At 46.9% G+C, this 26,592-nt stretch overlaps 1 long non-coding RNA gene across 4 annotated transcripts, besides 4 other annotated features; it reads right to left on the bottom strand.

The window, feature by feature from the left end:
* Positions 1–6,174: 6,174 nt before the first annotated feature.
* On the bottom strand, positions 6,175–23,203 carry LINC02910 (long intergenic non-protein coding RNA 2910). Of its 4 annotated transcripts, none has more exons than NR_161291.1 (4): positions 23,120–23,203; positions 20,142–20,221; positions 9,085–9,295; positions 6,175–8,531 (listed from the first exon to the last, which is right to left on the bottom strand). It is a non-coding gene; the product is annotated as a long intergenic non-protein coding RNA 2910 (long non-coding RNA). The 4 variants fall into 4 exon arrangements; NR_161293.1 differs by having other exon boundaries at positions 6,175–8,140; NR_161292.1 differs by lacking the exon at positions 20,142–20,221.
* Positions 20,379–21,180: an enhancer, noted in NCBI's record as "NANOG-H3K27ac-H3K4me1 hESC enhancer chr20:58633003-58633804 (GRCh37/hg19 assembly coordinates)". NCBI's record gives its function as "activates a minimal SCP1, AML or CMV promoter by ChIP-STARR-seq in naive H9 embryonic stem cells {active_cell/tissue: H9 hESC(naive)}" and the evidence as "EXISTENCE:reporter gene assay evidence [ECO:0000049][PMID:30033119]".
* Positions 20,423–20,672: an enhancer, noted in NCBI's record as "active region_18194". NCBI's record gives its function as "activates an Ori minimal core promoter by ATAC-STARR-seq in GM12878 lymphoblastoid cells {active_cell/tissue: GM12878}" and the evidence as "EXISTENCE:reporter gene assay evidence [ECO:0000049][PMID:35858748]".
* Positions 21,276–21,455: an enhancer, noted in NCBI's record as "active region_18193". NCBI's record gives its function as "activates an Ori minimal core promoter by ATAC-STARR-seq in GM12878 lymphoblastoid cells {active_cell/tissue: GM12878}" and the evidence as "EXISTENCE:reporter gene assay evidence [ECO:0000049][PMID:35858748]".
* Positions 21,466–21,515: an enhancer, noted in NCBI's record as "active region_18192". NCBI's record gives its function as "activates an Ori minimal core promoter by ATAC-STARR-seq in GM12878 lymphoblastoid cells {active_cell/tissue: GM12878}" and the evidence as "EXISTENCE:reporter gene assay evidence [ECO:0000049][PMID:35858748]".
* Positions 23,204–26,592: the final 3,389 nt, after the last annotated feature.

Genomic DNA, 26,592 nt, shown 5'->3' with positions numbered 1-26,592 from the left:
GCTGAGACGCTGCCACTTTGGGAGACTGTGCTTGCGGAGTGAGCCCTTCCCTGGCTCCCTGTCAGGCACCTCACAAATCAGAGGACGGTGATGGGGAGGGTGGCTGGGAGGGCGCTACCTGCTGTGTGTGGAAGAACAGTGAGATGAGACAGGAAGGAGGCCAGGCCCTCTTGCTCCCCCACGCAGGGCCCAAGACCACACAGGTGGTAGCAAGGACACGGCCAAGTGGAGGCAAAATTGCACCTGCGCTTGGACAAGATGTTCTCCTAGACACGGGCTGTGGTGATTGCATTGTCTATTTCTGTGTGTGGTTTATCTGCAATGAAATGAAATTGGATGAATGTGACTTGGGGAGTATGTGCAAGGCGGGGCAAGGGTGATGCATGTATAATCAAGGCGGACAGGGAACTCTCCCAGACATGCAATTGTTTGATTAAACCAAATCACCACTGGAAGGAGCAGACAGAACTGATTGGCCTTGTTCCAGCACAAAAGGCCAGGGAGGTGAAGGTTGGAGTATTCTGGCATGGAACAATCAAAAGCATTTCCTCCCAGGCTTAGCTGTCAGGTGTCAGCCCTGCCACTGGGGCCTACACCAGTTTAAGACAGAGCCTCAGGGCACAGGAGTTGCAAAAGCATTTGTGTAAGGAAAAGAGAAGTGCCTTGAAGGGCAGCTTCATCAATCCATTCACTGCTGCAAGGCCTGAGCCCCACCCATCCTGCAGCCTTGTGCAGGGGCCATGGGAGAGGCAGCAAAGGAAGGGAACGTCTGCAAGGAGGGGGCCCCAGCCCAGGACCTGGCTAAAATCTAGGTATCTTACCTTAAAAATTCACAAGCATTTTTATTGCTTTCTGTAATGTAACTGCATTTGTCTTAATAGTCTTCAAAGGCTGACATTGCTGACTGTGGAGGAAACTGGTGCTCCAGGGCAACACACCAGCCTTCTCCCTGGGCTTGACTCAGCCTCTGCCTCTCAGCCCTGCACCCCTGAGGCCTGCACCCCAAACCAAAGAAGTTCTGCCCTAGGGTTAAACCAAGGGGCACACACAACCAACTGGCCTTGTCCCAACAAGAGAAAACTAAGGTGCACTCCTCCAGCCTTAAATGATACTAACAGTAATTAACACAGATCAGCCACTTAATAAATGCAATGAACACTTTATATGGTTTTATCACATTTGATACCCTTGAGATTAGGGTAAGTGCTATTATGCCCACTTTACAGATGGGGAAACTGAGGCTCGGGGAATTTAAGTGGCTTAACCAGAGTCACATTGCTGAGGCACTAATTGAACCCAGTCTCCAGTCCAGAGCCCACCACAGCATAAGACCTGGCAGGCTCAGGCACTCTGCAGAGAAGGAAAAGAACGTGCATGAATCTCGTTCACTTGTTCATCCAACAGACGCTCAGCATTGCCGTCCCTGTGGACTCGAGGCGCTGGGTGCTGGGAAAATGGAGACAGAAAGACAACATCTGTGCCTGCAAGACATGTGCCCTGTGTGGAGCTGAAGGGAAGATTTCTGTGGTAAATGCCACAGAAGAGAAGGAAAGGGTGAAACCCATGGGTTGGAGACACCAGGAAGCTCTGGGCAAAAGGGAGCCTCAAGGGGGAAGACAAGAGTGACAAGAGCCAGGAGCAGGAAGAATGTTTCAGAGCAGTGGTTCTCTGAGTGTGGCCCCTGGACTGGCAGCATCAGCCTTACCTGGGAGCTTTTTAGAAATGCACATTGTGAGCAGAAACTCCAGGAGAGAGCGTTTTAGCAAGGCTCCCAGGTGATGCTGATGCCTTCCCAAGCTTCAGAACTGCTGTTTTAAGCAAAAAGAAAAAAACCTACAGAGAAGATGGAGTTTGGCATATCTGAAAATCAGGGAGAGCTTCTGGGGCAGACCCTGCTGGCTCCCTGCCTTCTTCTTGATTCTTAGAAATCTATGTTTGAGCAACAATGTGCTTAGGAAAAGTGGATGAATCTCGCTTGGCCTAATCCATTTATCTCCTTTTGGTGATTAAAGAGAAAAAAAAAAAAAAAAAAACAGAAAAGAAATCAGCTAGGGGCTTCCAGGGAACATTTTGCTGATCTGTAGTGGTTTGAAAAGTGTCACTCAAAAGATATATCCACATCCTAATCCCCAGAATCTGTGACTGTAACCTTACTTGGAAAGAAGGGCCTGGTCTTTGCCGATGTAATTACAGATCTTGAGATGAGATCATTCTGGATTAGAGTGGGCCCTAAATCAATGACACGTGCCCTTACAAGAGACAGGAGAGAAGAAGATGCAGACACAGAAGTCTACATGACGGCAGAGACAGAGATGGGAGTGATGCAGCTACACAGGGAGGAAGGCCAGGAGATGCCACCGAAAACCAGAAGAGGCAAGGAAGGATCCTACCCTAAAGCCCCCAGAAATAGCAAGGCCCTACCAACACCTGGAGAGAATATGATTCTAGTGATTGGAGCCATTGAATGTGCGGTGTTTGTTACAGCAGCCACAGGAGGCTAAGACACCGCCTACATGGGTGGATTCCCTGATGCTCTTATTTCCTTTCTGCTACACGCTACCATCTCCAAGACATACAGTTATCTGTGTATTTGGTTGGGTTTTTTCCCCTGTGTTCCTACTGGACTGAGAGCACTAAAAGGGCATCATCTGGCATGATATCCAGCACATAGTAGATGCTCCGTAAATAGTTGTTAAACGCATGCATGAATGGAAGAAGGTGGCATAACAAAGATCCATCTTCTGACTTCCAGTAATATTTCCTCCTCTACACATTAACAAAATGACAATGCAAATGATAATCTAATCAGTCATATTATGATACTAAGGTGCCTGGTGCTTGTTACATCAGACCACATCAATGTAAAATGCATGCTGTCTCTCCGAAGCCCAGCTGTTGAAGCAAAGTGAGGCATACCAGAGTAAAATTGGCTCATTGGGCCTAAGGCAGAGTTTCTCAGCCTGGGCACTATTTATACTTCAAGGATAAATCTTTGTTTAAAGGGGGGTGGCCTGTCCTGTGCATCTTAAAACATTCAGCAGCATCCCTGGTCTCCACCACTAGATGCTGGTAGCACACCCTCCCTCTGTCCCTGCCCAGCTGTGATGACCAAAATGTGTCTAGACATTGCCAAATATCCCCATCATGCAAAATCACCCCAAAGTAAGATCCATGGACCCAAAGGATCCACAAGTAGACTAGTTAAGTCAGCCTTCCCTGAAACTGGGGAAAGCACACCGCCATGCCACACTGATGGAAATCCACCAGAAGCAATCCAAATCAGGTCAAAGTGAAAGGTGCAAAGGAGGTGAGTCACTTTAGCTCATGGACAAGTAAGAGAAGATGTGAGAGTGGGGCCTGGACCACAGGTTACCAGGAAGAAAGAGAAACTGTCTGCCTGGGCTGGTGCCCCACCCCAGCAGGTCAGGTGAACAGCAGGACCCAGGTGAGAAGGGACAGCCCTGTCATTTTCACGAACTGGCAGGCAGTCCCGAAGTGTAACCTAGGAATCAGTGTTGCAAGTCAAAGGAGTCAAAAAGGGACACACATAATGTTCTCACCAAGCACAAGGGCCTATGCTCCAACTTCTCGATGGGGCGCCATGCCCACCTCAGCCTGGGAAGAGCTGGGAGCCACGGGGGTTCACCTTGAAGCGCACTGGCTTCACACCAAGGCAAGGGAACAGAGGATTTGGAGGGATGCACACAGAGCCAAAGTGTCCAAGAGGATGATGATGCCACCTAGCGCTTATTGGACACCTGCCCCGTGCCAAGCACTGTGTTATCTAACTCAAAGTATCTAAAGAATAACAATTGTCAGTGTCCAGCCTCCATCTCCAATTTTTAAAAGGAAGATGAACAGACAGAATTGGTAGAAATACAATAGGAGCCTTTGAAATACCTCTCTAATCCTTAATGGAGAAACCAGATAGAAATTCATAAAGACCATAAATGAAGTGTGGTTAATATAACAAATATCCATGCCCCACCACACAGCTTTCAAAGATATCATGTGTTTCTGTATTTACAACAGACCTTTTTTGGTTAATGCATGAAATACTACAAGACCTTTGAAGCTCCACTTCTCTGTTACCATTTTGTCTCCGCTCCCTCCCTCCACAGGGGAAACCCTGATTCTTGAAGGTGATTAATACCCCTCTCTTCTGTGCTTTTGATGATATATGTGTATATATTATCCACACTTGGTGCACAAAATAATATATAACATTGTTTCCTGTTATTTGTTATATAACAAAATTATATATAACATTATTTCCTGTTATTTGTTATATAACAAAATTATATGTAACATTGTTTCCTGTTATTTTTACACAAATTGTATCATGATGAACATGTTCTTTTTCACTTTCTTCTCACTGTCTCCTCCCCCATACTAATTTTTTGAGAATTTCCCAGGTCGATATCAGTAGACCTAATTTAATCATTTCATCTGTGGCAGAGTAATCCACTACATAAATTACCTAATCCAATCCGCTACTAAGGAACATTTAAGTCATTTCTGATTTGTTAACCAGCACGAACAACACTGCAATGAAAATTCTGACACATACGATTTCTTGGGCATGCATAAGAGAGTTTCTCTAGGGTAGGGCCCCCAACCCCGTGCCGTGAACCGGTACAGGTTAGGAACCAGTTAGGAACTGGGCTGTACAGCAGCAGATGAGCGGCCAACGAGTGAGCAAAGCTTAACCTGTATTTACAGCTGCTCCCCATCATTTGCATGACCTCCTGAGCTCTGTCTTTTGTCTGATCAGCAGCAGCACTAGATTCTCATAGGAGCGTGATCCCTACTGTGAAGTGCACATGCGAGGGATCTAGATTATGTGCTCCTTATGAGAATCTAAAGACTAATGATCTGTCACTGTCTCCCATCACCCCCAAATGGGGCCAGCTAGTTGCAGGAAAACAAGCTCAGGGCTCCCACTGATTCTACATTATGGTGAGTTGTATAATTATTTCATTGTATATTACAATATAATAATAGAAATAAAGTGCACAATAAATGTATTGTGCTAATAATAATAGAAATAAAGGGCACAGTACATGTAAGGTGTTTGAATCATCCTGAAACCATCCCCCACCCAACCCAGTCCCTGGAAAAACTGGCTTCCACATAACCCGTCCCTGATGCCAAAAACGCTGGGGACCGTGACTCTAGGGCCCAGATAGAGGAGTAGAGTTGCGGAAGCATAGGGTACAAGTGTTTTGACTTAACTAGATATTAACAAAAGACTTTCCAAAGTGGCTGAAACCATTTATATTCCCAACAGTGGGATAGAAGTTACTGCTTGCCAGAGTCTTATTTTCTCAAATCTTCAAGGAACTGATTATTTCTGTACTATGGAAACAATTCCAGTACATTGAGAAAGACAAAAAGTCACTGAATGGTTTCTCCACAGTCAGCATAACCTGAATGCCAGGGCCTGACACAGACTCCCCGCAGAAAAGGTAATTAGAGAAAGTTCACCCAAAAAGCTTGAGAAAAGCGCTGGTAAATAACACGCCATGATGATGCGGAACTCATTTGCAAAATCCAGGAGCTATATGGTTTGGGAAACTTTAAAAAATACTCTCAACGTGTTAATAGGACAAAGGATAAAGAAGTATATGATCATTTCTTATAAGTCATAAAGACATTTGATAAGATTTAACATCCATTTCTGATACTTGAAATTATCAATAACTCCTTCTTATAAGATTTTGTTCGTTTGGTTGGTTTTTGATTTTTTTTTTTTTTTTTAGAGACAGGCTCTCACTCAGTCGCTCAGACTAAAGTGCTGTGGCGCCATGCCATCTCAGCTCACTGCAACCTCCACCTCCAGGGCTCAAGTGATCTTCCCACCTCAGCCTCCTGAGTAGCTGCGACTACAGGTGTGTGCCACCATGCCTGGCTAATTGTTGGGTTTTTTTGTTGTCGTTTGGGTTTTGTTTGTTTGTTTTTTGTAGAGACAGGATTTTGGTATGTTACCCAGGCTGGTCTCAAACTCCTGGGCTCAAGCGATCCACCCACCTTGTCTTCCCAAGGTGCTGGGATTGCAGGTGTGAGCACCGTAGAATTTTTTTACTGCACATTCCAATCCAAAAATTATCATCAAATTTTCTTGTAAAAATACTGTCCGCATCCTATGAGAGTCACAAGTTCAGAGTACCCTTTATCATTAGTATTGCATGACTTTATTCTAGAAGTGCTGAACAAAGCAATCAGACAAGAATATAAAAACAGTTATGAACATTGGAAAAGGCAAAACAATCATAATTTGTAGATAATAAGGTTGTATTCCAGGAAAACCCAAAATAATAGAAAAACTATTAAAACAATACAAATACAGTAATATGATCAGTTATAAATAATATACAACAATGACTATCTCATATGTAAATTATAACAAGCTAGAAAATACAAACTTTAGAAAATCATTTCCCCTAAAATACCTAAAAATAAATTTAACAATACATTTGCAGGACATGTGAAAAGCCAAAAATAAGTCTCAGTGAAGATTTCAATACATGGAAATTCATATCTTTTTTATTGGATAAGAAGACTCAATGCAATAAAGACATACATTTTTTCCTGAATTAGTCTGTATATTCAGTATGATCTCAATGTGGGATATATTTTACCTTGGACAAAAAGAGTGATTCTAAAGTTTATCCAGAAGAATAAACATCTTACAACCACCAGAAAAACTCTGAAAAAGAGTGGCATTGAGAAACTTGTCTTGCTGAGTATTAAAAATGTATAAGATGATGACAGTTCAGTAAAGCAGTGTGGTTTGAAAAAGGAATCAAAAGATAGCTCAAAGAGATGAACTGAGATTATAGGAAGGGACACAAGTACGCAGATATTTTAGAACATAATATAGTGGTCATTTCTAATAAGGGAGAATATGGAAATGGAACAGCTGAATCACCATTTGGGAAACATAAAACTGGAAGCCAGCCCATTTCTTACCGCAAAGTAAATTCCTGAAAGAACAAAGGGTTACATGAAAAGAAAAAAAATGCTAAGAGCAAATATGGGAGAATATTTAAGTAATCATAAGTTGGGATTGCTTGACCATTCTAAACATATGAGCATCAGAAAACACAAAATAAGACATAAATTTAACAACATACACATTTACAACATCTCTGAATGGCTTTAAACTTGATAAGCAAAACTAAAGACAACAACAATTCCATAATTCTGATCACAAAAGCTAATATTCACAATATACAAAGTGCTCTAACAAATCAATAAGAAAAGTTAACATATGAAGAGGAACATTGACGAAGGATAGGAACAGATGTTTCATAAAAGAATACATGCAAAAGGCTAATGGGCACGTTCAAGGTCATTATCAATCAAATAAAAATTAAATATCATTTTTTGCCTATCAGATTGAACAAGAATTAAAATGTAGTTGGAAACCAGTCATAGTAAGCATTTAGGAAAATGGGCATTTTCACACAGTCTTGGAGGGAAAGTAAAGTGAGCATCATTTCCGGAAGGTAGTTTGACATTATTGTATAAAAATGTAAAATGTTCATGCCTTTGAACCCAGCAATACAATTTGGGGAATTTATTCTAAGGAGATCATTTCAGAAGTGGGAAAAATGCATGCCTGAGAAAACTTTCTATTCCCACCAGTGAGTGACTAAGAAAAATGCAGTATGTGCTTGAATAAGTGCTCTGCAGAAATTAAACACGATGGTGAAATATATTGATTGATTGGTAATATTACCTTTGACATTTTCATTAAGCAAAAAAGGCAGGTGCCAGCATATAATGTGATGTCAATTACATAAAATTATACACATGTATCTTTATTTGTATGTATATATGTCAAAGGATTTTTCACTCTAGCTCTTTCCTAAAACCATCGTAGCCCCCAAAGTTTGCATGGTTCATTCTATCTCATTGTCGAGAAGATTGTCTCAAAACAGACAACACCTGGAGCTCTTTTAGCACATGGTAGTCATTATCAGCATCTGAAAGTACCTGTGTGTTTCTTCGTTTTCTCAATGACTGCTGTGCAGCCTCTCCCATGAGAAGAGACACCATGGAGGTCAGGGCTGGCTGGTCCACCTGCAGAGCCTAGCACGGACCTGGCCCAAAGTCCCTGCTTGGTAAATACCTGCTGGATGAATGCACGGTGCTGTGAGACCAGTGTTTTTCACAGCACACTCTCTAGAAGAAATGCCAACCTGTGTTATGGACTAAGGTGTCCCACGGGCAAGTAGGTTTTGGAAACATGGCATTGGATCAAGCCAATCCAAGGGTTTATTTGGTGCAGAACTTTGCAGAGCCTTTAATACCCAAATGCACATTGTGACTGTCCAAGAGTTTCCCAGCTCTCTTGACTGCAGAAGTCCCTCTATCTTCAGCCCCTTGGAGCGTCTTGTGTCATGGGACAGTGTGGGATGGACTATGTTCAGAAGAATATTCAGCAATGCATTAAATTGGGGGCCGAGATTAGAGCTGATCTCCAATTTGTCATTGTACTGTCTGTGTTGTTTGAAGTGTTGACACTGAGTGAGCACATATCATTTCATAAATATATCAGTTTTTCAAGATAAAAGAATAAACATTAAAAATGCACTTATTGTCTGAATCTCAAAATCAAGTTTATTTTCCAAAACCATGAATTGCACTGAAGTTGTTTTGAAAGAAGAAAGGCTGGTTTGAACCAAATAGAAACACAGAAAGTAGCAGAACCAGGTCTTCTGTATTCAAATTCTACTTTCACCATATACTTAATGAGCATCTTTGGGGAAATCATGCAAGATCATAGTCTGTAAAACGAACCCCCTCGTAAGTTGTGAGGATTCAGACTAAAAATCTAATAAGCCCCAATAAATACTAGCTTTTTCTATATTAGCACTGATAAATCTAAATTAAGTTGTGCCATCTAAATATGTTTGCATTCCACTTATATCAGTCTGCTCAAGTCATGGTCTCCTATACCCGAACTCTCCAGAGCCTAGAGCTGCCTCCATTTGCTAAGAAGTCAACAGACAAAGGTTTCGGGTGGGTCCCATGTTTACTCCTGTTCACTGTCAGAAAGTTGTGTGCTGGACTCACCTTCAGCCTGTGGCTGTGCCCGTAGCCGTCTGCCTGCCAATAAGGGCTGTGCTGAAACAGGGCAACCATCAGAACCCTGATGGGTTCTTCCAGGGCTGGCCCCAGAAGAGCCTCTGCTGGGACGAATGCTGAGAAGCCAGTTCTCACAGCTGGGTGTTCCTTTTGTTTATGGAGTGGTTATTGCAGTAACATCTGGATTCCTTAACCAACACTACGGAAACGCAAAGATTATGTTTAGCTGCCTGGTGTATTTCAAGGGACGTAGCTTTTATTCTGCATGATCAGGAAGTAATTAGCAGCTTAAACTTGATGCCTTCACTCAGCGTTGATTCCACGCCTCTCTTTCAGCAAGGAAAGCACTGGAATTCATAATTAGTAAATTCCCAGTGTCTACCCCAAATCCTTAGGGTAGGTGCAAACAGAAGACCTTTCTGTCCTTCCTTTGAGTAATTTACAACTTGAGCTGCCTTTTTCATGGGGCCCCATTTCACTGGGAAAGGTGAAATGTAAAAACTAACCAGCAGCCTGATTATTCAGCAACCTTTACCAAAACCCAGTCATGGCTACTGTCCACCAAGCAGCGATGGGATATATCTGGGGGTGGGGAAGTGGGGAGAATCAACCAGGAAGAGAGATTGAGCTTCAAGCGTAGCGTGGAATGGAAGAATTCAGGCTTGAGATTGGATTAATCTGTCTGGATCCTATTTCCACTGCGTGACCTCCATTTCCATCTAGAATTTGTGCTCTCCTCATCTTCAAAGTGGGGGAAGTGACAGTACTGACCTTACCATGCTATTTGGGAGGTCAATAAGATAGCACACACAAGAGGCTTTGCACCAAGCTGGGCACAGAGTGTCACACTTACCTAGTGGCTTTACTTCTGAGGAACGTGGCACATGGCATTTCCACTGAACAGATAAGCACGGGCTCAGCAACTGGGCCGTTGGAGGGTTGGGAGGGAAGCCCTGCAGCCTTCTGGGAGAGTTCCCTGTGTCAGCTCTGGGTCTGAGCAGGCACTCCTCCACCTTGTGATTATTAACTGAATGTTTGCACACACATTTCTCTTCATATGTAATGGTCCATGGTTTTATACATTTAAAAAATATTTTTAAAAACAAAGCTCAGGGAGCTGAAGTGACTTGCCCAAGGTCACACAGAGAACTGGAAGGCAACGTGCATTTGGAACCCGTTTCTCGAAGTGTCACCACTTCTCATGGCAGCCCCAGGCACAGTCTCCTCCTGGGTTGGAATTCTCCATTCCCACACATCACTTTCTTTCTACATGTGCACACACAGGCACACAACACACACATGCACATGTACACGCAAACACACACGTGTGCACACACACACATGCATGCATACACAAATGCCAGCACACAGTAAGGGTTTAGTAATGGCAGCACCGATTTCATTGCTGACATAATGACCCAAGGACAGTCTTAACAGAACGATTGCCTCATCTGTGTGATGGGGACAAACCTGGGAAGCACCTTCAGGACTCCGTGGAGATTAAATGACAGAGGGCACTCACAACACTTAGAATAGGGCCTGGTACCTAACGCAGGCACAATTAATGGTTGTTATTATTATTGCTATTGTTAATATTAGACTTCTTTTGACTTATTTTCAAACCAAGACATGTCAAATTCTCTCCATCTCACTCTTTGGAATCTGCGTGTTTTCTCTGAGCAGAGAAGAAATCTTGCCAAGCAATGCTTTTGTTCCTGGTCTGTAGAAAACCCAGCCCTAAGCTGGGCTTTGCACCTCTTCAGCAAAGCCTTCTCTGCCTAAGTCGGGACCCCATGCCCCTCCTCATACAAAAGCTGCTACCAACCAGTGAGACCATCCCGAGGTAATACAGCTCCTGAGAACCGCCAGATCCCCAAAGTGGATTCTTCCAGCTTTCTCCAAATAGAAAGGTTTTTAACATGTTTTAAAACTGAAACTCGTTAGTTTTAAACCCCAAAGTGTGATTGTACACATTTATTTCCCTGGAATTATTTTTGAGATCGGAAAAAATACAGTTTTCCTTCTTGAGGAAAATCAAATGACATGTGCACTGACTTTCTCCAAGTAACACAACCTCAGCCCTATAATTAATATCACCACCTTCCACAGCCTCATAATTAAACATGAGATGCACAGGACTGGGAGGAAGTCACGGAAAGGCAGGAGGTAAATCACCAGGCTGGTCTCTGCCACCCATTTCTTGGGAGCCCATAGGAAGGAGGGAGTTGGCATGGGGAACAAGGGTGGCCCTGAAGCAGGCTGGAGGTCACCTGCGCCCACGCAATCATTGATTTCCCTTGGTGGCCCATTGTCCCAGGGCTGTCTGGAGCATGAGGCCAGCAGTGCCTACGAATGGCTGTGGAGTCTTTGCGCGCTGCTTGACATGTACACTGCCGGGCCGACCAAGACGCAGACGCTCCAGCCCATGGGCCAACCTAACCTGAAAGGAGATGGAGGGTTTGTCCTGAGTCTATGCCTGCTGTTCTCACTGAACATGAGTTTCGAGAAACACCTATGCAGGGATGATCTGAAGGAAACTGCAGAGTTTATTCCGTTGGTGTTCTCCCTGCTTGTCATCTCCTCCTGCCACGGACCTCGGGCTGTGTGGCTCTTCCCCCTCCCCCCCTCCTCCCAGAAATGCCCACCCAGCATCCCTCCTCCTGGCAGTGCCCACCCAGCGTCCCTCCTCCCAGTAGTACATACCCTCCTCCCAGCAGCACCCACTCAGCATCCCTCCTACCCTCTCCAGCTGTGCAGTTCTCCTCCCTCCCCACTCTTCCTAGTGTCTTTCCTGCCTCCTCTGTTCCCCACTCTCCTGCAGGTGGTGGGAGCCACAGGACTGGTCAGGCAAATGGGCCAAGAACAGAAGTGAGCCTGTGGCTGCCAGGCTGATAACAGCTAGTGTGTCTCCATTTTCTCCTCTTTGGCAAACCTCATAGGCCACATATTCCAGGTAAGGAGACCAGGAGGTGGAGAAGGTTCTTTAGGTGGAGTGGGGAGAGCAGAGGTCCATGCCCACCTGCTCTGGCTGAGTCATGTGATCAAGAAATAAACCTTTTTGGCTGGGCGCAGTGGCTCACACCTGTAATCCCAGCACTTTGGGAGACCGAGGTGGGGGGATCACCTGAGGTTAGGAGTTTGAGACCAGCCTGGCCAACATGGTGAAACGCCGTCTCTACCAAAAATACAAAAATTAGCAGGTCCTGGTGGCACACATCTGTAGTCCCAGCTACTCAGGAAGCTGAGGCAGAAGAATCACTGGAACCCAGAAGGCGGAGGTTGTAGTGAGCCCCGGGATTGCACCATTGCACTCCAGACTGGGCGACAAGAGCGAGACTCTGTCTCAAAAAAAAAAAACCTTTCCAAGATAAGCCACTGACGTTGTCTGGGTTATTCACTGCTGCTGCTTGTATTAATTACTCTACTGAAACCAGCACATTCTCTGTGCCGGGCACAGGTCCATGCAGCATTCAACAGCCTCGTGGAAGAGACAGGAAAAACAAATATATATTTAAAAGTGTGATTAAGTCCAAAGACATCAAGAAGATAATGTCACAGACAACAATAGGGTCAACCTACCTATGTATCTGGGCTAAAGAAGGCCTCTCTGAAGAGTGTGACATTTAAGACAGGATGATGAATTTCTGGGAACAAGCCAAGTGTGGGGAAGAAGGGCAGGTGTTGCAGGCTGTGGGAAAAGCTTGTGCAAAGGCCCTGTGGGAGAAGAGAATTTGAAATTCTTTGAAAAACAGAAAGCAAAAACCATGTGGCTATGATTTGATGCATGACAGGACCAAGTGAGGGGGAGGAAACAGGCAAGGACAGATCCCCAGGGCTCTTGCTCTAATTTTCACAGTGCAAAGGAGCCTCGGAGGATTTTAAGCAAGGGAAAGACATGGATGGTTGACTTGTTAAAGGATCGCCCTGTGTGGAGAACAGGCTGCATAGGGGCAAGATGAGAAGCAGGGAGATCAGAGAGGAGATGTGGCTGTCACCCCGGTGGGAGACAGAGGCAGCTCAGGGCAGTTTTAGGAGACAGGGAGAAGGCCACCAGCTTGAGAAACTGTCACGTGAATTCCTCGTGCGCCACTCAGTTCTTAGGACATGCTTCCTCGCCCCAGATGCAAGGTGTGCAGTTCCATCTACCCAGACCCTCAGTGCTGAGGGTCCTGGCCCCTGCCAGCAGCAGCTAGGGCTTCCAGCTGGTCCCCGAGGTCGAGCATGTGCATCCCATCATAGGATACTGATGTCAGGACCATAAGGACATCTGAAAGGTCCAAGGGGGGACATATGGAGAAGGAAGAAGGCCTCGCAAGTGTCTCCAGAGCTTAACACCCAGAAAGGGATGCAGGGTCACCAAATATGCCTTTTCGTAGACTGACCTCAGCGTAAGGACGCAGGCTGCAGCACTGACCTCCCGGCATGGAACTTTCTATCTGCCGTCCCTTTGTTCCCTGACTTGTTAGAACACTGGGGAATGGCCTCCCCAGTTTTCTGCATTTTCCCTTCTTTCAAACAGATTTTCTCTTTTTGGGAGGTATGCCTGGCTGCACTGGAAAGTTAGTCTCAAATATGATTCTGCCTCAGTACTACTTAGGAAAGCTTTTCAAAAATACAGACTCCAGGGCCCATTGCGGGACTATGGGATCAGAATCGTTCAGGAAGGGTTCCAGAAGGCTCTTCTTTCTAAAAGCCCCCTAGACAATTCTGAGGACCAGCTGCTTTAGACCGGGACCAAATGGAAATATAGATGCAGGGATGCTTTCCTACCATTCCCCAGAACTTGCTTTAGGGACTGCAGTGCCATCCCAACACACAACACCCAGAACTGGCTCAGACATCAGAGGCCAGGTACACTGTCCACAAGAATTTCCAGCTAGGAGCTCCAGGCTCCCCAGAACTGGCACTTCTGACCAACTGGCCAAAAATTTGGCATTTCCCACAACCCCCTCAGGTTTCATAATTTGCCAGAACGACTGGCAGAACTCAGGAAACTGCTGCAGTGATAAGATTACAGTGTTATTATCAAATGGTGGAAATACAGCCCAGCCCAGTGAAGAGATGCATAGGGCCAGGCCTGGAAGGTTCCATGGCATCACCCTGTGGATCAGGACATATCACCTGTAGGCACCTTGATGTGTTCACTAATTGGGAGCTCACCTGAGCCCATGTCCAGAATTTTTATTGGAGTTTCGTTACATAGGCATGATTGATTAACTCACTGGCCATGCAATTAAACTCAATCTCCAGCCCTCCTCCACTCACTGAAGGACTGACGTCATGTTGGTCAAAGCCCCAAGCCTCCAATTACCTGGCTGACCTTTCTGGTGTGGTCAGCTTCCATCCTGGTAATTTCATAAGCATAAACTCAGGTATGGTTGGAAAGGCCCACCATGAATAACATAGATTCTCCTATCACTCGGGAAGTTTCAAGGATTTAGAGGTTTCCTCCAAGAAACCAGGGCCATAGCCCAGCCAAATCCTTTATCATGGAACCGGGAGATTTGTAACTGGACTGACGCTGTCACGGAAGAAAGCCATTTTGGTCTGGCCTCCAGCAGAATCAGTTGACAATAGCCTTGAGACCTCCACCTCCTTGTTAGTGGCCTGAGACGCCTGGAGTAAAACAAAGACAGTAAGGGCTCTGGCCATTTATCATAGGGTGTGGGTTCTGTGGTGATGACAGTTGAATTGGAGGAGGATTTAGAGAACATTCTGGAAGAAGATCTGTGTGCATTTCAGGGAAATTTCCTCTTTAACTTGTGCTTCCTTCCAGAACATTCTGGAAAGAGGTCTGTGTGCATTTCAGGGAAATTTCCTCTTTAAGTTGTGCTTCCTTCCAGAATATTCTGGAAGGAGGTCTGTGTGCATTTCAGGGAAATTTCCTCTTGAAGTTGTGCTTCCTTCCAGAACATTCTGGAAGGAGGTCTGTGTGGATTTCAAGGAAATTTCCTCTTTAAGCTGTGCTTCCTCAGCACCAGAGTACCCGGGGAGCTCTCCCACTTCCTGCAGGGTGGGCTGGGTTCTGTGGGTTCGTGCCACTCCCAGATCACAGGCAGGCACAGCTTCAAAGGCAAAGGGGTGCAGGACCAGGCCACATCCTGGCACAGGAGACAATGTCTACACCACAGTCCGTGACACCAATGACCATCCATCCCATAGTGGGTTCTAGGCATCATGCTTCCATAGCAACTCCAGGCCCTCCACCCCAGCCTCATTTCTTGTGACTTTCAATGGGAAACTAGCAGGAGAGAGAATAAATTTTGGTTTTTCATTAAAGAGGACCACAATCAAGGGAATTAAATTGCACTTATTTAAGGCCGTTCTCTCCCAGTCCTGAGGGGAGAGGTAATTTCACAAATTAGCCCAAGAACCCAGAGACTGAGTTAGGTCTGCCGAAGCCAGAGTCCTATTCCCTTCACTGCAGAAGGCTTGGGCCTGCACATTTAAGATGTTTTCTGCCACCCCCAACTCAGAGGACACCCTCCCTCGGGCCTTTTCAAATCCCTCCAATTTTTCTCCAAGCAGCCAGCTCAGTCTTGGGCTCCAAGACCCACCCACGTTCAAAGCAGCAACTTTGGCCAGAAAAAAATGAAAGAAGGGAATTCTCTGTGTGAAATAATGGATTACAGATACAGCCACTCCCCCGTCACTGCCACCACTTTAAAATGAATTTCCAATTGAAAATAGCCATTGGACTATAGATAGCTTGGCGCAGAGATGGCCGGTCAGGCTGTACTCCCAGATGCCTGGGTCAGCAAATTCCAAAGCATCTACTCAGCAGTTCCACATTCTTCCAAGAAAGTTCAGTTCTCTCCCTCCTCTCAGCTCTGGGACCCAGGGGCTAGAGATGAGGGTGGCCACCCCCACCCTGTGTTGATGCCAGGCACCTCTCCCCATGAGGACTCCAGGCACCGAGTTAAGTAAATTAAATAAAACTATTTGAGCTTATTTATGGCTTGTGGGTTTTTCTGGTCAGCCTGACCTCCGTGAGCACCTTCAAAATAAGATTTCTATTAGGGAAGATGACTTCAGCGTTTTAAAATTTTTTCTTGCCCCCAGAGTCATGGTTTTAATTAACAGTATCACCGAGTGGCTCTCCCTGGCAGACAGTGGCGTTGCAGGCCTGTTGAGGCCCGGCGAGGAATGAGCCAAGCAGATTCTGTTTGCGTTAATCCTGCCAGTGCAGAAGCTGCATCCCAGGGTAGAGCGACTACAAAATGAGCTTTCAGGCCACGAGCATCTTCCAGCAGAATCTGGGGGTGTCAAGGCTGCCAGACACAGCAGGCATGCCCGCCTGACCCCACGTTGGACAGGCAGGGCTCATGGCTACCCCAGCTTGCTGCGGGGAAGGCTGCAGAGAATCCCAGCTGCAGCTGGTTCCTGAGAGGCCAGGCAGCACTTCGGCACTGCAGATTCATCGTCTTCTCAGGCACCCAGCGTGAGCGCCAGCCTTGAAAATAATCAGCTGTGGCTCTAATTCATTATAAGCTCCGAGCAGCCCGAGCCTGTGCCATGAGACGGGCCGAGCTCTGCATCCTGGCTTGGTGGAGCCCGTAGATATGACCAGCCTCCTGCTGCAGTGTGGCTGCAAGACGCCTTCCCCACGGCCCTGGGTAGTGTACCTGCTGCCTGACAGCGAGCAGCAAAGCCCTGAGACAGGATTGCCATCAAGCGTTCATGGTGCAGGGTTCTTTGGGGGCATTTATTCTGTCTCTTGTCAATGGCAAGGCGAGGCAGGGATTCATCATGTCAGACCCTGTTCTTCCTGATTTGATTCTGTGTTTGACCTTGCCCAATCATACAAAAATATCCCCCTCTACCAGCAGTTTAGGTCAAGGAAAGTACAGACACCCCTCATTATCCAAATATTGTCAATTCCTGGAAACACTTTGGAGAGCAAATTTCCAGACATCAGGGCTTCACCCCTTTATGTGAACTGGGAAAAAATAATAATACATTCCCAGGCCAACAAAAACAATCCCCAACCAATTTTCCAAATATCTCTTAAGACACTCTTAAACACCTATATAGCAATGTGCTAAGGATGCTTGCACAATGCAAACATTTAGGACTCCTGCTTTTTGATGAGTCTACATTGGATGAACTTCTGGATGGGGATGTTCACATGCAGTATTTAACATCACTGAATGGAGTCAGATTAGAATTATGTTTTCCTTCTACACTGTAAGGGACGTGCATAAAATGTTAACTGCACAAATGAGGTAACAGGTAAAAGACAGAAGCTAGGTTACATCCAGCTTGGGAGGGGCAACACTGGAGCTAGAAACGGCTAGACCCCAAGGAAAGGGAGGGTGGGGAGGAGAGTGACACTGAGGAGCTGCTCTGAACAACCTGGCAGGATCCCCACGGGCAGAGAGCCGAGATGCCCACTGCTGTGCGCCCACCCTCTAGTGGGCACCTCTACGCACTTTCTTATTCTGAGTGAACTTGGGTAAAATGTTAACACATTGTTAAGGCAGATCATTCAGATCAGGAAAAACTGGAGTAGGCGGAGTGATCAGTACTGGGTTTTCCCTCCCAAAAGGTAATTGGACAATGACTGTGTGTGACAGGGACAAATGCATTCGGGCGCTAGAGGTTCAGCCCTCCTCTTCCCCTACCCACTAAAGAAAATGTCATGTTTGCCGTATAGCATGCCTGCCTCATGCTAAAACGTGGAGCAGAAAACAAGGCCAGAGCCGTGAGGGCTGGCTCCAAGGAGCCTCTGGGAAAGAAAAGGGCTCTGGAAAAGCTCTGGAGTGAGACCATGGGAGGGGAGAAATACGGGGTGAAAGAATCGTAGGGAAAGTCATAGAGAGGTTTCTCCTTAAAGGGTTTGGATGAACTCAGGTCATTTTTCCAATTGCTTTGAGTGTCTGCTGCTTCTCTTAGTGGGATGCTAAGAGCAGGGCAGATGGGGCCCCAGAGACGTTGAGGTTATGCTGGGACGTTCAGTTCAGTCTGCTCAGATTTAATTTGGGCAGCAGCATTCACTTTTTAAGGGTGCTACAGGTGCCACCAGAAAGTCTAGTGTTCAAAAGTCTGCTACAAACACAAGGAGGCTGAGTGCCACCTTGTGCCCCTGTCGCAATACCTGGTTACCCGCCCACCCCAACACACCTGCGCTTCCCCAGGACGGCCTCATTCACAATCCCTTCCTCTCTGGTGGTGTTGCAAGCACTCCATCATGAACATGACTCAACTGAGTCTTCTTAGTGTTGAAGAGAAACTAAGCCCAGAGGGAACAGGCAGTTCCCCCAAGCTCCCTCAGGACATGGTGAGTCTGGGATCTGGACCCAGGCAGGCTGGCTGTGCAGCCAGGCCCTTCACTGCAGCTGCCCTTCAAAGAATGCCTGGCTGTGCAAAACAACCCTGAACCACCTCCTGTCACCACTCATGAGGCCTGTCCTGCCCCTGCATGGCTCACACTTGCCAGTCATTGTCAGGACTTACCTGCTAGAATCACACAACCTTGATTCTTGACCTGGTTCTGCTATGAGCCTCGCCCATAACACCCCTCAAATCTATAGACCTCCCCAAGCCCCAGATTCTTCCTTGTCAAACGGGGGTTGTTGTGAAAGACCCATGAGGCAGCACCTGTGTGGAGCGTGTGGTGGCCCAGGGCCCACCTGCGATCACCTGCAGCACAGGTCCCCAGCCTCTGCCTGTGGACCCTCGCTGGCCCCAGGAGCACATGGCCTATGCTGGGCAAACTAGAAGCACCAGGAGTTCATGGCCAGGAGCAGGAAGTGGCAGTCAACACCCAGTTTTCCAGTCCTCCAGAGGGCAATTCTGACACGTGACGCAACATAGTGGCTTAGACACCCCCACTGGAGAAATTGAACCCCAAGGTCCTCAGTGATGGCCTTGTCTGTGGTCACCCTAATCCCCGGCCTTGCTCCCTTCCAGGTTTCAGCCCCACTTCCTCACGGTGCTGCTGGATCACCGTCCATGTTAGCCGCTTGCACCCGAATCCTCAGCTCAGGGTCTGTTTTGGGGCGACCTTATATTAAGAGAGCAGAGTCTGGCACCTAGTAAATACTAAGCCCTCAGCAAAAGGTATGTGTGTGATATAGAGGGAGAAAAGATTCATACATACACATATGTATGCATATGTGTACCAATATGCACTTGTAAATGTGGAAATCTAGATGAATGTACATGTGTTTATCTGTATGTATATATGTGTGCATACAGATATGTGCATGTATGTGTATATCTGCTATTTTTCTATATCCACATATGTGTATGTATGCATATAGATGTGTTCATGCATGTATATATGTGTGTATATCTATATCATTGTGTCATGCATGTGTCGATGTCAGTGCATGTGTGTATATGTACATGAATGCACATGCATAAATGTGTATATATGTGTGTATATATGCATGCATGAGCATATTTAAATATAGATGTGTGTATATGTTTACATAGGTGTATGTGGGCATGTATGTGCATATATGTATAGGCATGTGCATATAGGTGTGTGTTTATACATAGACATGTGAGTATATATGTATATATCTATATGTGTATATATGTATTATACATATATGTAGATGTGGGCATAAGTATTTGTGAGTACATGCATGTGTACTGTATATGTACGCATCTATAAGGATGTACATTTATGTATCTGTAGGTCTATATGTGCATGTGCATGTGAGTGTATGTGTGTACATGTGTATACATAGGTATGTGTGTATATATGAATGTGTGTCTGTATGTGTATTCATCGTGTGTATATGTGTGTCCATGTGTGCATGTGTTCCTGTGTGTGCATATGTGTTCCTGTGTGTGCATATATGTACATACGTGTGTGTCCACAGCTGGGTTGTGAGAGTCACACAGCAGGAAACAGGTGTTCCCTGACTGCGTCCCCAGAACGTATTCTCCGAGGGCCTCTCAATGACTCTCTGCTGGCCTCACTTTCAGGCCCCCACGCTGGGTCTTATCCCACCTCTCCCTGCCCTCGGCTCCTTCTTTGCACAGGTTCCCATTCACCAGAGGCCCCCGGCTTCCTCCCCACACCAGGTTACCTTGGGAAGTGGGAAAGCCGGAAGAGGAGACCTCACAGCAGAGCCTACCAACAGCTGCTCAGTGGCAGGACCCAGGGCGGCTGCAAGGAAATGAAATCCCCTCTCACTTAACAGCCTAATAAGGATTTGAACCTGAGTCTGCCAGGAATTTCAGTTTAACTGCTTTCTCAGATGTGAAGAACATGTCTGGGCTTTCAAGCATGCCCCAGGGAGGAGCCGCGACAGGCTGAAGGGGAGGATGGCGCCTGTTGCTGAGGCTCCACCTGCCTGAGCTTCTCTGTGAGGCCCCGGAAAACAGCACAGGCCTGGCAGGGGAGCTAGATGTGCAGATGAGAGGGGGCAGCCGCCCCAGGAGACCAGCGCTTGTTGCGGGGAAATGATGTCAGCAAGACGCAGCGGCAGCAGCAGCAAGGAGTCACTTAAGGACATTTCCAGCTGCCCTGGGCAACCTGATCCTCCTGGGAGAGGGGCCCACAGACTCAGAAGGGCTGCAACGCTCAGAGCCCAATCCTCAGGGCTGCGCACTTAGCCAGACAGGCTGAGCTGCATGAAACTGCTTTGTCATTCACACTGGGCCATTCACACTCTCCCAAGTGGAGTCCTCACCCCTGATCTGCCGGTTGGTGGCCAGGCCCAGGGCCCCTCACTTCCTCCTTCCGCCTCATGTGTTCTGCTCAGCCACATTGGCCTCCTTCTAGTTCTTCAACAAGAGGCTCATCCCCCTCCCAGGGTTTGCTCTGGTGCTCCCTCTGCCTGGAGTGCCCTTCCCAGCTCCTCACAGGTGCGGCTTGTTCTGGGCAGTCAGGTGCTTCAGGCTTCCCTGCCCCCCTGCCACCAGCCTCCTATTTAATTTCATTCTTGCAGCTGGCCCTTTTCTACTTTGTCGTGTTTAACTCCCTACCATTTATTTTTCTCCTCTCTCCCTGGAAGGCGAGCTCCCTGGTCATCGTGGGCCTTCCGTGTGTTTCTCATGCTGCGTCCTCAGAGCCTAGAGGCATGGAGTAGCTGCTCACTGAATCCTCACAGAATGAATGAATGATTGACCACACCCATCACATTAGGCCTTATGGGATTATTATCAAGAACGCCCTATTTAATGATGGGGACATGCTGCCCCACTTCCATCCCTGGGCCTTGGTGCACAGGCCAGAAAGTCCGAGACAGACCATCTGTCCTCCCTACAGGGGACCAACTTGCACAAACAAATGGGCATCAGCACCCACTGGGAGCAGCCGTGACCCCTGGGTCCTCGGTACCAGCCACAAAGCCAGTTCTGAGTTTGTTCAGAATCCTGCTTAGAATGAAGGATGCTCCTACACCAGAGATCTCTTAATACGACCACCAAACACCACGGGATTTTCAAAGGTAGCTGCCACAGCCGCCGCACACAAGCTCTGTTCCTGGCTTGCTTCTGCCATCTGCTGGCCAGTTGATAAAAGGCACCGGGGGTTATTTTCCAGTCTCTCTGAGGCTCTTGTTTTGTGGGAGGAACTCATCACCACCTTTATCTTCACAAGGGCTGCTTGGCAGACCTGTCCCATAAGTAGTGCAACTTGGGAAGATCCTAGGCCTCTTGTGGGTAGGGCAGTCATCCAGTCCTGCATCTTATGACTTCACACGTTACAAACGTTAACTTGCTAAACACTCAATGTGAAACCTAGGAGTAAGGGACAATTATCTTTACTATCTACAAACAAGGATGTTCAGGCACAGAGAGGCTCAGTACATTGTGCAAAGTCACACAGCTACAGAGTTGTGAAGCCGAGATTGGAACTCAAGCAATAAGGCACTTTGATGGCAGGCACCTTAATGGGGGGTGGGGGAACACCCTTTACCAACAACCATGCAAATGGCCCAGGTGCTCCTGTGACCCCTGATCCCAGGGGCTCCACCAGAGCACCAGAGAGAGAGGGATGTGGGAAGAGCAGAGGACAGAAGAGGACACGTGCATCTAACCACTCGGAGGACAGGAGAAGGCACCCTAACCTTCTGAGCTGCCATCTTCCAATCAGGAGGAGGGGAGCACTGGATACATAATCTCAAGGCTTTCCCTACAGTTCTCTCAACAGGACAGACAGGCAGGGGTGCACAGTGGTTAGAGCACAGGCTTTTTGGTCAGACAGAACTGGGTTAAAGATCAGACACGTCCACTCACTCTCAATGAGTCCATATCTGTAAGCCTAAGCTTCCGTCCTCACACATGTTGATAAAAGAAAAAGAAAAAAAAAGGCCAAGTGCAAAGCTTTTAGCATTGTTTCTGGTTCAGGGTATGGACTTAATACTGTTTTCTATCATTATAACCACACTAAAGGCTCTGAGAAGTCCTGCAGGAAGGAAAACTACTTGTCTTTATCTCAGCCATCCCCAAGCTAGCTGCCCACAGAGCCACCATGGAGCCCACAGCTCTGTCACCCCACAGGGCCCATGTGCCTGGCCCATTCATGTTCCCTCACACGGGAGCCTCAGGCCCCAGTGGAAACAGACTCAGGAGACAAACCCAGGCCTCCTGCTCCCAGCTCCCCACTCTGTCCTTCTGCTTCTACATCCAACTACCCCCAAAGCAGTTTCTACAATCCATAAACAAAAGAATTCAGAGACAATTCTCCAGGGCTCCCAAGACGACATATTTCATCTGTGGCTTCTACAGTGCTTATTTGTCAGTTTTACAGACCAGAGGCAATTAAGAGTCTAAGGCCGAGAAGGCTGTTTTTAATAATTCTGTCATTATTCTCAATTTTCAGCACCACCACACATGAAAAACCCATTTCCAATTCCCTTAAAGGTGTTAAATGGTTTTTGCACTGTGTTGCAAAAGTTTGCCGTCCGCCAAACTGCTACAAAGTGGGCTTGTAGCGTCCGGTCCTGAGCTGTGGGAACGACTTGGTCGGGGCTGATCCGCTGGAGCCCAGCTCTTTCCCCAAGCGTTCAATTCCCAGCACATGCCGCGTGGGTCACTGTGGATTTCAGGGTGGACTCACCGCGCTGCTGGGTGTTGCAGTCCACGCGATTTCACAAGACTCCATGCAGGACACCTCCACCCGGCCCAGGCTCAGGCAGGATATGAACAGGAAACCACTGTTTCCTGCCGATCAACACCCAGGAACTGATGAAGTAACCCAGTGCCCAGCCCCTCTGACAGCCACAGAGCCAAGAAGAGGGAAGTGAGGTGGCATCCAAGGCAGCCCCTGAAAGAACTAAGCAAGGCAAGTTCAAGGGGTTCAGGGCTCTGCAGCAGCTGATGGGGAGCAGGGAGGAGCATTCCGTTTTCAGGGCATTGAAAGTCCTTGAAAGGAGAAAATTTTATAAGGAATGACAAGGCCTGGATGCAGAAGGTGGGAGACCCCTGCCCTTGATAACCGTCATAGTTACCAATGACAACTATGATAAAGAGATGACTTTCTGTGGCTCCCACTTGCTGCCCTCTGTGGTTCCAGGCACATCACAGAGAACTCTTCATTTTCATGAGGCCCCATAAGGACATCCCTATTACTATGATCCTTATCAATATCCTGATGTTACAAATGAGGGAACCAGGACACAGAGACGCTGAGGAACTTGTCTGAAGTTACATGGTGGAGACATAGCCTGGGACGCAGCAGTGAGAGGGACAGACGAGCCCTGCCCCTGTGCACCAAGCCATCTGCTGGGGACGCAGAAATCAAACAGCTCGTGGCTGCCCTTGTGCCCAGCGCTGTGGGCATGAGCGAGCTGCTTTGAAGAGACAGCGTGGTGACCTGCCCTGCTGGCCCAGGCAGCATCACACGGCAAGAAGGCGGGCTTTGAAGGGTTTTAAACAGAGTCGTGTTCCCACGTCTGCAGTGAGAGGGCTGCAAGCCTTTGTGTTTTTCACACGGTGTTACACAGCGTTGGGGTCCACGGACCTGCCTCGGAAGCTGCTCATGGGCAAATGGACGACCACGGGTGGGGAAGGAAATTTCCCCCAAACACACACATGCTTCACCCAGAGCAGCCAAGCTGTTTGTGTGTTTGTGTGTATTCACGTGTGTATGTGTGTGTGTGTGTCTTATGCCTAATGGTTCATTGAGTTTAAGGATCTCTCAGCTCCCTTGCAGCACAAATGTTTCATAATTTGGTGGTTAGCGCGCAGTGACCAGGCAATACAGGTTCATCAAAATGCACCAATGAGACAGAGACAGGAGAGGATGTTTTGGCAGCAGACAGACATCCAGGAGGCCTAGCACACCCCCATCCCCCGGCCCCAACCTCAGAGAGATAATCAGGGGAGCAAAGGGCATTAGTATGAAACGACCAAAGAGACTTAGCGAGCAACGTCAGACTCCCTGCAACACGCGTGCTGATGGGACAGAGGGGGAGTTATTTTTATACTTCAGAAATAACCAAGCATTCTGCATGCCCAAAGCCAGTTTGGGTTTTAAATACCTTTCATAATTTTTCTGACTATGGAGGTAATACATCCTCAGGGCATAAAATTTAGAAATTATAGAAGAGTATTTTTAAAAATCCAACCATTGAGCAATAACCATTATAAAAATCTTACTGTTTTCCTTTCTTGTCATTTATCTAGGCTCATACAGATATTTGGGGCTTTTTTCACAAAACTAGGAAAATGTTAAAATATATATTCTAATATTGTCTCGATTTTATTATTAGATTTATCATAACCATAAAAGATTTGAACACTTTTAACGACAGCGTATTATTCCATTTCCATGGAATTACTGTAATGAATCTCCTACTGTTGGGTTTCAGTTGCTTCCAAATTTGAATGTAAATAATTTGGGGGCAGTTCTCACTCCATCAATGGCAGACTAGGTTGAATACAGCCGAGGTTTTGCAGGCACACACTATGCCCAAATTAAAGCCACAGCCCAGGATGTTGGCCATGGAGAGATGATGCTTTCAACTGTATCAACTCTTGAAGCTGGTGAACCATGGCTTCTCCCCTTCAGGCGCTGGCAGACCTTCTCCTCACACTCTTGGCTCTTTGCTGGGCTGACAACTCCCTACTTGCCCTGCAGGCCTTCCCTGAGCTCTGGGGTCTTCTTTCTGCCCCCTTCCATAGCTCCCCGTGGCTGCCACATCTCAGCACTGACATCCTACGTGGCTCTTTGTCCACACCTAGCTCCCTAGACCATGCACCCCTTGTGAGCTAGGTCTTTGTCTTCCACATGGAAGTTCTCACTAAACACTTGAATAAAGGAATGAATAAACAAATGAATGAACAAACAATCTAACAAAGAAGGAGCACATGGGCTGACCTTGCAGGGCTCTCACGCCAAATCCTGGAGGCGCCTTCTGCAGCCGTTTCTGTCTCCCAGCCAGTCCACCTGTTGCTCGGGCTGCTACTCAGAAGTGGCGCGTACAGGAAGCACGTGCTTGTTTGTGCTGGCCCCATGTTTGTTTGCATTTAGGATCACGGAGTTTACTCAATTAATAAATAGAGTGGAGAGGGGGTACTGCCTCTGTTTGGCAGACAAAACAAACAGAGGAGAGGGGAAGATGTCCAGGGCAGATTTCTCCCGCTTTCAATCTTAAATAAATAACCAGTTTCCCGATGCTAATTTTTCCTCTTTATGATCTTGTCTATCTGTGCACAGACGATGAGGTCTGATCCCTTGTGGTCCCAAATGCCACGTGGCAGTGAGCTTCCAGGCCACGTCCCTATTGCGCCAGAAGAGCCCATGTGTGTCTTTGTGAGCATGTTCATAGTTAACCTTGTTGATCATTACATGAACGTGTTTAATCCTTACCACAAGCCTGGGAGATAGGAACTCTTACTGTCCAAATTGCACAGATGGGCAAGCCGAGACACAGAGAGGTAATGTAACTTGCTCAAGACCACACAGCCAGCAATGGCAGAGCCTGGATTTTAATCCTGACAATCTAACTTCAAAACCTATACCTGTGATCACCAGCTAGTCCTCAATAGCCAATGTGCTGATTTCTAAAGAAATTCCAGCACATTCCCGCCATATATAAGCAGCCTGTTATTCCCAGGGAATATAAATGCCTTGGGTTTAATTTAATGAAAGCTGTTATTGGAAAAGATACACCAAGATAATTAATTTCTTAAACAATGGAAATGAGGCTGCGGTTGTGTACAATTTTGTTTTTAACTGGAGGTCTCCCACCTCTGGAAGAGGGTATGCTAGAAAGCTGAGAATCCCAGGAAGAGAACTGGTAGGTGAGTCTGGAGGCTGCATGAGCCTCAGGGTCATGGAAGGTGTGCCAGTGTGTGGGTGCCAGACCCAGAAGAGGGTGCCAAGATCACCTGGAGCAGAGCATCCAGGGAGCTGGGCAAAGCTCTCAGAGATCTTTCCCTGCTTTGAAATGAGACAACCAATCCAGGGTATAAGTCCATGCTGGAGCCATGGCAAAGAAGAACTAGGACCCAGCCTGCCAGCCCCTTTTTGAGGCTGGGACTTCTTGTTACCTCTACAGGATAGTATGATAGAAGGCCCCCTGGCAC

The sequence above is a fragment of the Homo sapiens genome, chromosome 20 (assembly GCF_000001405.40).
Source record: "Homo sapiens chromosome 20, GRCh38.p14 Primary Assembly".
Classification (NCBI taxonomy): Eukaryota; Metazoa; Chordata; class Mammalia; order Primates; family Hominidae; genus Homo; species Homo sapiens.
This window is presented reverse-complemented; position numbering and strand designations above follow the sequence as displayed.